A 13,865-nucleotide genomic window follows, 5' to 3' on the forward strand; every position below is an offset into this window, starting at 1 on the left:
ATTCTTTTTATTTAAAAAAATTATTTTTAAAAAGTAGAGATGGGTGTCTCACTATATTGCCTAGGCTGGTCTTGAACTCCTGGGCTCAAGTGATCTTCCCACATTAGCCTTCCAAGTAGCTGGGACTGTAGGCACACACCATCATGCCTGGCTTCTCTCTTTATTCTTTGATTAAATATTTCTATATTCTATTTGGTCATAATGATTCTCATTATCCAACTACTTAATCATTGTATTCACTTTTCCTAGTTCCTTGGGAGAAAAATACAAAATGTAACACTCAAGAACTTTACTAATGATAAGTTTAGGGAAAGGAATATTGTTGTTAAATTTTGTATATTGCATATACAAAGGTCATACTGTTATCTTTATTAAATTCTTTTTTTTTTTGAGACAGAGTCTCACTCTGTTGCCCAGGCTGGAGTGCAGTGGTGCGATCTCGGCTCACTGCAACCTCCGCCTCCTGGGTTTAAGCGATTCTCCTGCCTCAGCCTTCTAAGTAGCTGGGACTACAGGTGCGTGCCACCACACCCAGCTCTTTTTTTTTTTTTTTTTTTTTTTTGAGATGGAGTTTCACTCTTGTTGCCCAGGCTGGAGTGCAGTGGCGCCATCTCGGTCACTGCATCCTCCACCTCCCGGATTCAAGTGATTCTCCTGCTGCAGCCTCCCGAGTAGCTGAGATTACAGGCGCCCACCACAATGCTTGGCTAATTTTTGTATTTTTAGTAGAGACAGGGTTTCACCGTGTTGGCCAGGCTGGTCTCGAACTTCTGACCTCAGGTGATCCACCTGCCTTGGCCTCCCAAAGTGCTGGGAGCCACCACACCCGGCCTTTAATAAATTCTTTAACATATTTTAATCTCAAATTTCTAGTTTCATTGCCATTATTATTATAATCAAGTAATATAGTACAGATTAAGTACCCACAAGTGCATGGTATTATGCTAAGTACTTTAAAAAACATTTATGCATAACCAGTAAAGACAAAATATTATTTAGGCATAATGGGATGAATAAAGTATAATTTATTTGAAAAAACAAATTTGAGGAATATTTACATAATATATGATTATTTGACTTTGTATTACTTTGATTTTCCAGTGAGTGTCTATATATTTGAATTTACTTATCAGTCAAAACAGAAAGAGGTTGTGTTTTTTTCTTGGAAGTGAAATGGAGAGGGGGAGATCTGATTTTTAGTCTATCAGTAGCTGTCTCTCTATATAGGGAGTAAGAGGTTTCTTGTGAACCATGTGACATAAAAATAGCCTATTACTAATATCTTTTGAAATTTTTATATCTTCATATACGAAGGCAGGGATTTTAGGTGAAAACTGTTTTATCCCCACTCCTTAGGTATACAGTAGTTGTTTTTCAGGTGTCTGCTTTAGACATCTGAAGGTAGAGATCAGAAACTGAAAGAAAGCCAATATTAGAAAAACAAAAGTAGATCCAATTAGAAATGAAGCTGGAAAAGTAGAACCTTATAGATCGTGTTCAATTTTATATCTTCTGACGGGAGAACATTTAAACATTCTAAGTATAAAGTGAGGTAACTGTTAGATTTGCATTTCTAAATGATTACTCAGTTATTTGTGGATATATGTTGAGAAGAGAATGGATATAGGAGTGGATGCAGGTTGGAGATGGAGACAAGTGGATGGATTCAAGAGACATTTAGGAGAGAAAATCAGTAATATTTGATGATGAATTCATTGAGATGGGGAGCTCTGTTGGAGAGTATCAGGTTTGAAGGGATGAAAGGAAGTTTAGAATTTCATGTTTCGATACTTTGAGTTTGAGGTATATTTGAGACATCCAAGTGGGTATTTCAAAAAGGCAGTTGTTATATAGACAGACTTTTCCAATTTATATACAAATAAATGAATAGGGGCTCCCTAGTAGAATAATGGATTTAAAAGTATGTAGAGGAAGAAAAATATCTTTTCTTCATTCATCACTAGGTTCATGACGGAGACCCCTAAAACAAAAGACAGATTTGTTAACAATAAAAAAAGCATACAAATTTACTTAATGAATTTTATGTGGCAACTGAAGCCTTCATAAGGAAATGAAGACCTGAAGAAACGGGTAAATCTGTGTATTTTTAATGTTAGATTTGATGAATAAGTGGATAGCTGTGAAGAAGTGTGATTGGATAAAAAAGTGGAATTTTATGGTAGTAAACTGGGGTTGGGGTGTGGGAGTCCTTAGCAAGACTTTTTATCAGGATTCTTTTCTGTATCCCTCTGTCTTCAGAGATAAAGGCGTTTCTTTACCCCAGGTATAGGTAGGACACCTCTTGAATGAGGGTCTTATGACCTGCTTTAGGAGAAGATTAAAAAATCCTTTCTAGGTTTTAGGAGTCTGCTTTAGGAAGAAGTGTGAGGGGAGGATGAGAGTGATCTTTCTGCTTCTGTTCTGTTAAATGCCAAGGTACCATATTTTGAGGTATCATGTCCTGAACTCCATCAAGTAAAACATAAATATTTGGGTTGAGTATTGAGAATTATTGCAGAACTCCAGTTTGAGAACACCTTATTTGTTTTTTGGAAAAACAAAAAGGGTTAGACAATTTCACTTCTGACTGTTCATGTTTCCCTCCATCTAGCTCTAGACCTGGAATTAATGAGGTGCTAAGTAGGGTAGTTATACATTTAAGTCTTTAATCCATCTTGATTTGATTTTTGTATATGGTGTAAGGAAGGGATCCAGTTTCAGTCTTCTTCATACGGCTAGCCAGTTATCCCAGTACCATTTGTTGAATAGGGAGTCCTTTCACCATTGCTTGTTTTTGTAAGCTTTGTTGAAGATCAGATGGTTGTATGTGTGCGGCCTTATTTCTGGGCTCTATATTTTGCTCCGTTGGAGCTGGAGGCCATTATCCTCAGCAAACTGATGCAGGAACAGAAAACCAAGTACTACATGTTCTCTCTTATAAATGGGAAATAAATGATGAGTACACATGGAGACAAAGAGGGGAACAACAGACAGACACTAGGGCCTACTTGAGGGTGAAGGGTGGGAGGAGGGAGAGGATCAGAAAAAATAACTATTGAGTACTAGCCTTGGTTCCTGCATGATGAAATAATCTGTACAGGAAACCCCTGTGATACAAGTTTACCTGTGTAGCAAACCTCACAGGTACATCTAAACCTAAAATAAAAGATAAGGAGAGTAAGTCAGATTTTAAATTTAGCCCTTAGTAAAACGGAATATTATTTCTCCTTCCCAACCCTCCATCTTCTGTTCTCTTAATGGTATTATAATCAAGCAAGTGAAATTCCCAAATTCCCAAAGAATTCTGAGGCATCCAGAATTCCCTTCTTTCTCTTGTTTTACTTATGCAAATTAATTAATTCAACAGCTATTTTTTGAGTACCTTCTATGTGTCAGATACTATTCTAGGCATGGCTAATAAAGCATTGAATATAAAATTATTTGTCCTCATGGAATTTATATTCTAGTGGGTGAAGATGACCAGAATTAAGATGAATAGGTAAAACATAGAATATATTAGTGATAAGTACTAGGTAGAAAAATAAAGCAAGGAAGAAGTAAAAAATGTGTATCTGTGTGAATATGGTGGTGGTGGGGTACCATTTTAGAGTGATGAGGGAAGGCATGATTGGGGGGACAGTTATGTATCTACCCAAAGGAGATGCAGGACAAGCCATGCGGACATCTGGGAGAGAAGTATTTCAGGCAGAGGCCTTGATATGAGTATATTCTTAGAGTGTTTAAAGTACAATGAGGAGAGCCAGCATGCTTCAGAAAAGTCAGAGAGCAAGAGTGGTAGGAGATGAGGTCAGAGAGGTAATAGGGGCCAGGTAATGTAGAGCTTTGATCTAAAGACTTTGACTTTTACTTACAATGAGAAACCTTTGGAGGGTTTTGAGGAGAAGAGTTTAATGATCTATTTTGTGTTTTAACAGAACCATTCTGGTTGCAGTATTGAGAATAGATTGAAGCTGGGCTGGGATGGAAGCAGAGAAACCAGGTTAGTCATGAGGGTGGCTGGGACTCAGGGTGGTGGTAGCAGAGGGTGAGAAGTAGTTTGGGTATATCATGAATAGCTGACAGCATTTACTGTTGGATTGTATGTGCAGTGGGAGAGAAAAAGAGGACTTAAGGATGACTCCACGGTTTTTGGCTTATACAACCAAAAGAAAGGAGTTGCTGTTTACAGAGATGAGGAAGACTGTGAGAGGAGCAGGTTCCTGGAGGACTATTAGGACATGTTAAATTTTGAGATACCTGTGTGATATAAAAGTGGAAATGAGGCTGGGCACAGTGGCTCACACATGTAATCCTAGCACTTGGGGAGGCTGAGTTGTGTGGACCACTTCAGCCCAGGAGTTTGAGACCAGCCTGTGTAACATAACAAGACCCCATCTTAAAGGGGCCTTAAGCATAACCTCCAAAATAAAAATTAGCCAGGCCTGGTGGTGCACGCCTACTCAGGAGGCTGAGGTGGATAGATCTCTTGAGCCTGGAAAATTGAGGCTTCAGTGAGCCGTGATCATGCCCCAGCACTTCAGCCTGGGCAACAGAGCAAGACCCTGTTTCAAGAAAAAAAAAAAAAAAAGAAAGAAAGTGGAAATATAGGGTAGGCAACTCCATAAATATGAACTTCATGGATGAGGTCCAGGTTAGAGATATAAATTTGGGAACCATCAGCATGATAAAACATAAAACCATGAGTCTATTTGAGCTAACCAATGGAATATATATGGCAAATAATACAGATTAAAAAGTGAGCCCTGGGGCAGTCTATCATGTAGAGACTGGGGAGATGAGAAACAATAAGCCAAGGAGACAGAAGGAGCCCTAGAGACAGGAGCAAAACCAGGCAAGTGTGACATCTTGGATATCAAGTGAAGAGAAGACTTCAAGAAAGAAACATTAACTGCATCAAATGTTGATAAATCAAAAAATAAAACTGAGAACTGACTGTTGGACTTAACAATGGACTTTATAAGAGATTTTGGTAATTGTGGATTATCTGGAATGATAGGGACAAAAGTCTTATGGGAGTGGATTTAAGGAAGAAAGGAAAAATAAATTGATGGCAGCGATTAAAATGACTCTTTCAAATGAGTACAGTCTTTGCAATTCTGTGTCCTAAATATTTCACAAGCCTACCCTTTTCTTCATAGTCTCAATGTTAGTGCATTTATTTAGGCTTTCCTTTCCTCTGAGCTTATGGCAGTGATCTCTTTACTTTTAGGCCATGGTCCACACCATTGACTTAAATATATAGTTGCCAAGGTTATCTTTTGAAAACACCTGTCAGATCATGCCACTCCTTTGCATAATGCCCATCATTTTCTTCCCTACATTTATAGCATAAAGTTCAAATTGATCATCATGAATAATATTTATGCCTTTTGTGATTATGCTTTTTATGATTATGCCTCAGCCTACTTTTCTAGTTTCATATCCTGCTTCTTACCCATACTTTCTGTGTTCTAGTTACATTGAACTCTTTAGATTTCTCTAAGTGACCTTTTCTTTCATTTGTGTCTTTGCAAATAAAATCTGGTACTGTTCCTGAAAACCCTAGCTCATACTTGAGAAGCTGTGGCTTCCCTGAGGTGTAGGTTAATATGAAGAAGGCAGAGGCTGTTCTAGCTTTTAGAGTCTTAGGAAAATGATTTATTTAGTTAATTTGTTTATTTATCTCTGGTATTATCTGTTGAAACTGTATGTTGAGGGGGATACATGTGGATCTCACTTTTGGCTGCATATAGACTGATCCAGGAATCCATGGATCAGTCAAATATTCATAAATTAAACTTTATTATAGCTATGTATGTATAAATGGTTCCTGACTTAGGATGGTTGAATTTAAATGATCTTCCAACTATGATTGTGTGAAAGTGATGCATGTATAGTAGAAACTGTACTTTGAGTACCCATACAACCATATTCTTTCACTCTCAGTACAGTCTTTAGTGAATTACATGAAACAGTCAACACTTTATTAGAAGATAGTGTTATAGTTTTAAAAAATTTGTGTTAGGTGATTTTGCCCAACTGTAGGCTAATGTCAGTATTATGAGTACATTTAAGGTAGAGTAGGTTAAGCTATATGTTCTGTAGGTTAGTTGTATTATATGTATTTTCAGCTTATGATATCTTCTACTTACAATGGGTTTATCAAGACATAACCCTGTCGTAAGGTGAGGAAAAAACATAGTGCACATCCTGCAGATAAGGCGGGACTGTTGTATGAATAACGTGCTGAAGAAGCACAGAAGAGAGAAGTTCTTTCTGGTAGGCATCCAGAAAGTCTATGTAGGAAGAGGAATGACATCTTTCAGTAAAAGGAACTTGTTGTTGATCATGAATATGATAGATGAAGATTCCATTTGTTTAGTATGTGCTTACTTTGTGCCAGATGTCGTCGTATATTTTGTGAATGTTACTACATTTGTTTCTCACAACCACATAGAGCATTATGATAACAATTTCACAGATAAGGAAACTAAGATACAGATAATTAATTTTCCTAAAGTCATATAAATTGTAATAGTTCAAAGATTGAGTCCAGCTCAACTCTGCTAGACACCCAGCACGTACATATTGGCTATAATTTCATTATACAGTCAAGTGGAGGGAGCTACATTTTATGCAGAGGAGAGAGCATAAATTGATAGCGGCCTTATAATATGTTTGCTTTTTGAATGTCATTGAGTAGTTTGGTGCTACCATAGTATAGGGGAGTATATTATTTAGGATTTTTATGGTTGCAAGTAACAGAAAATTTGAATCAGAATAGCTTGATATAAGGGGTTAGCAAACTTTTTCTGTAAAGTACCAGGTAGTAAGTGTTAACTTATATCCTATGGTTTATTCCCTCTTGGTTTATAAGATAGCAGCCAGCATATTCAGGGGCTCCATTGATCTTTTCCCATGTTTAGGGAGATACATAATCTTTTCCAGAATTTCTTTCTAATCACTTGAACTTAATCCCATCTTTGTTACAACTACTGAACTCTGCCATTGCAACACAAATACAGTAAATAATTTATTTGCTGTTATGACTGTGTACTAATAAAACTTTATTTGTGAACACTAAAACTTGAATTTCAAATATTTTTTGAGTCACAAAATATTGTTTTAGTTATTTGCAGTCATTTAAAAATGTATAAACTATTCTGAGCTCTCCGGCTGTGCAAAAATAGGTGGCAGGCCAGATTTGGCTCGCAAGAGTGTGCTGACCTCTGGTTTTTATGATGAAGATAATTTATTAGATTGTATAACTCTAGTCCAGAGATAGGGTAGTTTTCTTCAGTAATTCAGTGTCAACAACATCCTTGTTATGTTCCATCTCTTCATATAATCTTTGAAAGTGTTAATTTATATCTCATGGTTTATTCCCTTCTGTGTTTACAAGATGGCAGCCAGCATATCCAGGGACCTACCGTCTTTGTCCATGTCTAGTGAGAGATAAAACCTTTTCCGGAAGTTCTTTCTAATCTCTATTGAACTTAATCCCATCGGGTTTCACCCCTGCCACTCCACAGAGAGAGACCATGCTAAACCATTTACACTGGCTGAATGCAGTGATCAATTCTCAATCTTCATATTACTTGACCTATCAATATTTAATATTTGATCTTTTCCACTCCATAAAACCCCTTCTTTGTTTCTATACTCTCCTTGTCTTGTTCCTATTCTCACAGTATTCTCCCCAGGCTTTCAGCCTCTACATGTTCGATTCCACACCAAGTCTTAGTCCTCTGACCTCTTTTCTCTCTTTTTGTGTCTCATTCTTGTATATACTCTTTCCTTGGGGATCTCATGCAGTTTCATAGTTTAAATGGGATTTATTTACTAATGATTTGTGTGCCGATGGCATATCTATATTTCTATGCCTATTTGTCTAATAAGCATTTGAAACTTAGTATTTCCAAAACTGAACTCCGCATAGTCTCCTCATCCCCAAATCAGTTCTTTTGCAGTCTTTCCTGTCTTAGTAAGTTGCAAGTCCATTTTTTAGGCCCAACATATTAGAATTGTCCTCAATTTCTTTATCTTACTCTTCTGACAGCAGATTCTCTTTGCCATATCTTCAGAATATATCCAGAATCCAACCTCTTCTCACTACCTCCACTAACCACTTAGTCCAAGTGTTCATTCTTATTCTGAATTTTTGCAGTAGCCTCTTAATTGGTCTCTCTGCTTTGTCTACTTCTGCTCTCTTCCCCTTCAGCAGTAGAGAGCCTTGAAAAAGAACACAGTTTTAAAGCCAGACAATTTTGATTTTAGTATTGCTACTTACTAGTGGTGTGATATTGGGAAAGTCACTTTACATCTCTGAATCTGTCTTACATTTAAAATGGTAGTACTACTTGTTTCATTGAATTATTATTAGTACTAAATGAGATAATGTTATAAAGATTTTACTAGTACTATATCCAGCAGAAATGCCTAAACCAAGTCTAGCTCCTTTTCTCTTTTCTACCCCAAATAGAAGAGCTGCTCTTCATTTCTTCTGTTTATCAGAGTGCTTATGTAGCCATGGAATATTTTAAGCATATACTTTTTCATACGTAGCCTTTGGCTCATAAATGTTGTTTTTGTTTTTTTCTTTTGAGATGGAGTCTCGCTCTGTTGCCAGGCTGGAGTATAGTGGCGCGATCTCGGCTCACTGCAACCTCTGACTCCCTGGTTCAAGCAATTCTCTTGCCTCAGCCTCCCGAGTAGCTGAGATTACAGGCATGTGCCACCATGCCCAGCTAATTTTTGTATTTTTTTTTTTTTTTTAGTAGAAATGGAGTTTTACCATGTTGGCCAGGATGGTCTCAATCTCCTGACCTTTTGATCCCCCAGCCTTGGCCTCCCAAAGTGCTGGGATTACAGGCGTGAGCCACCGTGCCCGGCCATAAGTGGTCTTTAGTTTATGTTCCTGCTCCTTCCTTTTGTATTTTCTTTATATTTCATTCATGTCCTCTAACTCATGTGTGCTCTTATTGGCATTAAGTGTATCCAGTTCTTGCAGATTTGTATCTGATTAGTAAAAGGGACCAGAGTTCATACCTGAATAGTAAAACTTTAATCTATATGTATCCATTGTATTCCTTGTGGTTTTAATAACCTCCACCCCTCCTATTAGGGTTCTGTATTTTAGTTTCTAGAGTATTGAAGACAACCTCCTTCAACATTTTAATTCATAAAACCTAGTATTCTAGCAGATCATTTAGCTGAGAACACTAAAGATGAGCTTCGGCTAGATTAAGTTATTTTTCAACCGTCATGTTTTGATCCTGGATTGAGAGGAATAGTCACCCAGTTGCAGGAAATAACACATTTTTCTTGGACTTATTTATTCACTTTCTTATTAGACTTTCTCTAACTTAAATTCCTTCATAGGAAATCATTATATATGGAATATTCCTACATAAATGACATTTCTTTACTAGGACTATGTTGGTGCCTAAATATAGCTGAGTTTAAAGCTGTCTACTCTGTGAGGTAAATTCTAATGACATTTTCCCTTTTGAAATAATGGGAAGAGAACAATCTATTAACAGTATTTCTCAGTATTGAAATAATATTGTTTTATATTATTTATAAATAATTGCTGGATTTAACAGTATGCTGATTAAAAAAACAGCAGTATTCTCTGATGTTTATCTGAAATCTAGGAAACCCCAATTGAGATGGGCAGCTAGATCTTTTTTTTATTTCTGCACTTCTTACATCAGTGGGTTGTCCTTTGTAAAGTTTATGATATATTTGAAGTAAGTCTTTAACTTAAGTTTGATGTGAGTAAGTTCTATCATCATGTACATACATAACTCTATTCTATTTCCTGTACTCTGGGGTAATCAGTATTATGCAAACATCTTCACTTTTTTTTTTTTTTTGACAACTGAAGGCCTTCTGTTTTGTCCATAAATATAGATGCAAATATTATGTGAAGGAGGCCTTATCTGTAATGAAGGAATAGTGTTAAACAAGCAAAAACTTTAAAGTACTGTGTATCATTGCAGTCTTGCTTTTTTGAGTAATGGATTCCTAGATTCTATGAGGATACCACAACCACTTTTAAAGAGGTTTCTAAGGCCAGGTGCAGTGCTTACGCCTGGGAGACCAAGGTGGGAGGATCACTTGAGCTCAGGAGTTTGAGACCAACTTGTACAACGTAGTGAGACCTCATCTCTACCAAAAAAAAAAAAAAAAAAAAAAAAAATATATATATATATATATATATATATATATATATGCCAGGGGTGGTGGCTCCCACCTACAGTCCCAGGAACTTGGGAGGCTGAGGTAGGAGGATCACATGAGCCCACCCAGGAGGTCGAGGTTATAGTAAGCCATGATTGTGTCCATGCACTCCAGCCTGAGTGACAGAGTGAGACTCTGTGTTAAAAAAAAAAAAAAAAAGTTTCTACACCATCTTGGGGCAGTGGTGATTTTAATTATTTTTTTTAAAAATCTGTATTTACTTCTACCTGAGAGCTAATGACGACTTTTATGATTAGTTTCCACTGGGGTAAGATGTAATTAAAGTTTCAGTCTTAGAGAATTTTTCAAACTTACTGAAATTTTACTGTAATGTATTTCTGATTCATTTTTTAAAATTAAGGATGCTGGGTGTGGTGACTCACACCTGTAATCCCAGCACTTTGGGAGGCCAAGGCAGGAGGATGGCTTGAGCCCAGAAGTTTGAGACCAGTCCTGGAAATGTAGCAAGATCCGTTCTCTACCAAAAAAATTTTTAATTAGCTAGACAAGGTAGTGTGCACCTGTAGTCCCAGCTACTCCAGAGGTTTAGGAGGGAGGATCACTTGAGCCCAGGAGGTGGAGGTTGCAGTGAGTTGAGATCATGCCACTGTACTCCAGCCTGGGTGACAGAGCGAAACCCTGTCTCATAAATAAAAAAGGCAATTAAAACATTTTAGATTATGATTGTGTCAAAATTGGTGACTTTTTTTGTCTTAACATCATTGGTTTGCTGACTTGAAACTATTTCTTAAGCCATTTCTTATCTGTATTTCTCCTGTGGATTGTTTTGTTGAAACTCTGGCATTCTGCAGATTGCATAAATTTAAAATTATTGGAAGATTTGTTTTGTATTTATTTTTTCCCTTTTATTGTTTAGGAGAACAGTCCTGGTGAGGGGAAATGTCTATGTTTTATTGATGTTACTTCTGACATAATTCAAAGGCAAGGATTTTTTTGTTTTTTTTTTTAAGAGACAAGGTCTCACTGTGCTCACTATGTTGCCCAGGCTGGCCTCCAACTCCTGGTCTGAAGTGATCCTCCAGCCTCAGCATCTTGAGTAGCTGGGACTACAGGTACATGCCATCATGTCCAGTTGAGGGCATGTTTTGATGTTAAAACAGAGAATGCAATGCATATATGCCATTTTATCCACATAGAAAAATAAGAAAAATGAAAATTTATGACATACCTGCATAGGAGTGTTGTTTATTATAATTGACTCCCAAGTAAAAGAGAAGAAGTATACTTAAATTAAATGATCACAAGGAAGGAAAATTGACTTAAGACTGTATTTACACATCCTGATACCTCTGATATAAGATGCCATAGATTTCTGTTTTGTTAAAGTGAATCTTTATTCTACAATAATTTAGGACTTTATAATTTTTTTCTTTTTATAAAAACTTTTATTTTAGGTCTAGGTTTACACGTGCAGGTTGATTTATAGGTGAATTTGTGTCATGGGGGTGTGTTTTACAGATTATTTCATCACCCAGGAACTAGGCCTTGTAGCTAATAGATATATTTTTTTTCGATCCTCTCTCTGCTCTCTCCCTTCACCCTTAAGTAGGCCCCAGTGTCTGTTGTTTCCCTCTTTGTTTCCATGTGTTCTCATCATTTAGCTCCCACTTATGAGTGAGAATGTGTGGTATTTGGTTTTCTGTTCCTGTGTTAGTTTGCTAAGAATAATGGCCTCTAGCTCCATCCATGTTCTTGCAAAGGACATAATCTTGTTCTTTTTTATGGCTGCATAGTATTCCATGGTATAGAAGTACCACATTTTCGTTACCCAGTCTGCCATTGATGGGCATTTAGATTGATTCCATGTCTTTGTTATTGTGAACAGTGCTGTAATGAACATACATGTGTATGTGTCCTTATGGTAGAACAGTTTTGTATTCTTTTGGGTATATACCCAGTAGTGGAATTGCTGGGTTGAATAGTAATTCTGTTTTTAGTTCTTTGAGGAATTGCCACACTGCTTTCCACAATAAGTGAACTGAATACACTCCCACCAACAGTGTATAAGCATTACCTTTTCTCCGCAATTTGCCAGTATCTATCATTTTTTTACTTTTTTAGTAATAGGCATTCTGACTGTGTGAGATGGTATCTCATTGTGGTTTTGATTTGCATTTCTCTAATGATGTGATATTGAGCTTTTTTTTCCAAAAGCTTGTTGGCCACATGGGTATGTTTTCTTTTGTAAAATGTCTATTCATGTCCTTTGCCCACTTTTTAATGGGGTTGTTTGGTTTTTTAAGTTTCTTATACATGCCGGATTATTAGACTTTTGTCAGATGCATAGTTTGCAAAAATTCTCTCCCATTATTTAGATTGTCTATTTACTCTGTTGATAGTTTCGTTTGCTGTCCAGAAGCTCTTTTGTTTAATTAGATCTCATTTATCAATTTTTGCTTTTGTGGCAGTTGCTTTTGGTGTCTTTGCCATGACATCTTTGCCAGTTCCTATGTCCAGAATGGGATTACCTAGGTTGTCTTCTAGGGTTTTTATAGTTGCGGGTTTTACATTTGAGTCTTTACTCAATCTTGAATTGATTTTTGTATATGGTGTAAGGAAGGGGTCCAGTTTCAGTCTTCTGCATATGGCTAGCCACTTATCTCAGCACCAATTATTGAATAGGACGTCCTTTCCCCATTGTTTGTTTTTGTCAGCTTTGTTGAACGTCAGATGGTTGTAGATGTGTGGCCTTATTTCTGGGTTCTCTATTCTCATCTATTGGTCTATGTGTCTGTTTTTGTATCAGTTTTTGTTACTGTTTTTGCATGCTGTTTTGATTACTGTAGCCCTGTAGTATAGTTTGAAGTCAGGTAATATGATGCCTCCATCTTTGATATTTTTGCTTAGGATTTGCCTTGGCTATTTGGGCTCTTTTTGGGTTTCATATCAATTTTTAAATAGTTTTTTTCCAGTTCTGTGAAGAATGTCATTGGTAGTTTGATAGGAATAGCATTGAACCTGTAAATTGCTTTGGGCAGTATAGCCATTTTAATGATATTGATTCTTCTGATCCATGAGCCCGGGGTGTTTTTCCTTTGTTTGTATCATCTCTTTGATTTCTTTGGGAATTAATTTTTTTATGTTTTTTTTAAAATCTGTTAAGAGATCTGGGTCATTGGACCTGTAGAATTTCCTTCAGTCTGAATTATGTTGTTTGTGTACTCAGACACAACTTAACATTTTCCCTTTGCTTTTCTTGAAAATCAGTAGCTGGATTTTGTTGAATATGCACTCAGGAACAATTAAACATTTTCTTCTGTACTTTGTTTTTCCTGAAAATTGACAGCTATATTCAGAAGTTTGACCAGATTCAGGTTTGGTAGCTTTGGCAAAGCTGTAGTTGTGTTCCTATCATCACTTGTTTTTACTCTCTTTTGATGTTTTTAGGCACTGAGCCCCAGTGCCTATACAGCTATTAATTCATTGCAAGTTGCAGAATGGTGATATTCTAATTCCATCTTTTGTGTCCCACTTATTATCCAAAATAATTTTTAGGGAGATTCCTCTTATGTATCCTTTGGCTATTAGTAATATAGGTAAGGCAGCATCAAAGCTTGATTTTTTTTTTTCATTTTCCCAGTTTTCAAGATAATTGGTTT

At 36.7% G+C, this 13,865-nt stretch overlaps 1 protein-coding gene across 20 annotated transcripts in view; it reads left to right on the plus strand.

The window, feature by feature from the left end:
- TANC2 (tetratricopeptide repeat, ankyrin repeat and coiled-coil containing 2) overlaps positions 1-13,865 on the plus strand; it is a 461,469-nt gene that overhangs the window by 79,553 nt on the left and 368,051 nt on the right. For 4 of the 20 annotated variants that reach the window (XM_011524599.2, XM_017024429.2, XM_047435735.1 and 1 more), the window contains exon 2: positions 3,936-4,000. The exons of the other annotated variants lie outside the window; for them this stretch is intronic. In XM_011524599.2, the coding sequence (XP_011522901.1) occupies positions 3,982-4,000 (19 nt within the window). In that variant the 5' untranslated portion in view covers positions 3,936-3,981. The remainder of the gene's footprint in view (positions 1-3,935; positions 4,001-13,865) is intronic. 20 annotated transcript variants of the gene reach the window in all.

The sequence above is a fragment of the Homo sapiens genome, chromosome 17 (assembly GCF_000001405.40).
Source record: "Homo sapiens chromosome 17, GRCh38.p14 Primary Assembly".
Lineage (NCBI taxonomy): Eukaryota > Metazoa > Chordata > Mammalia > Primates > Hominidae > Homo > Homo sapiens.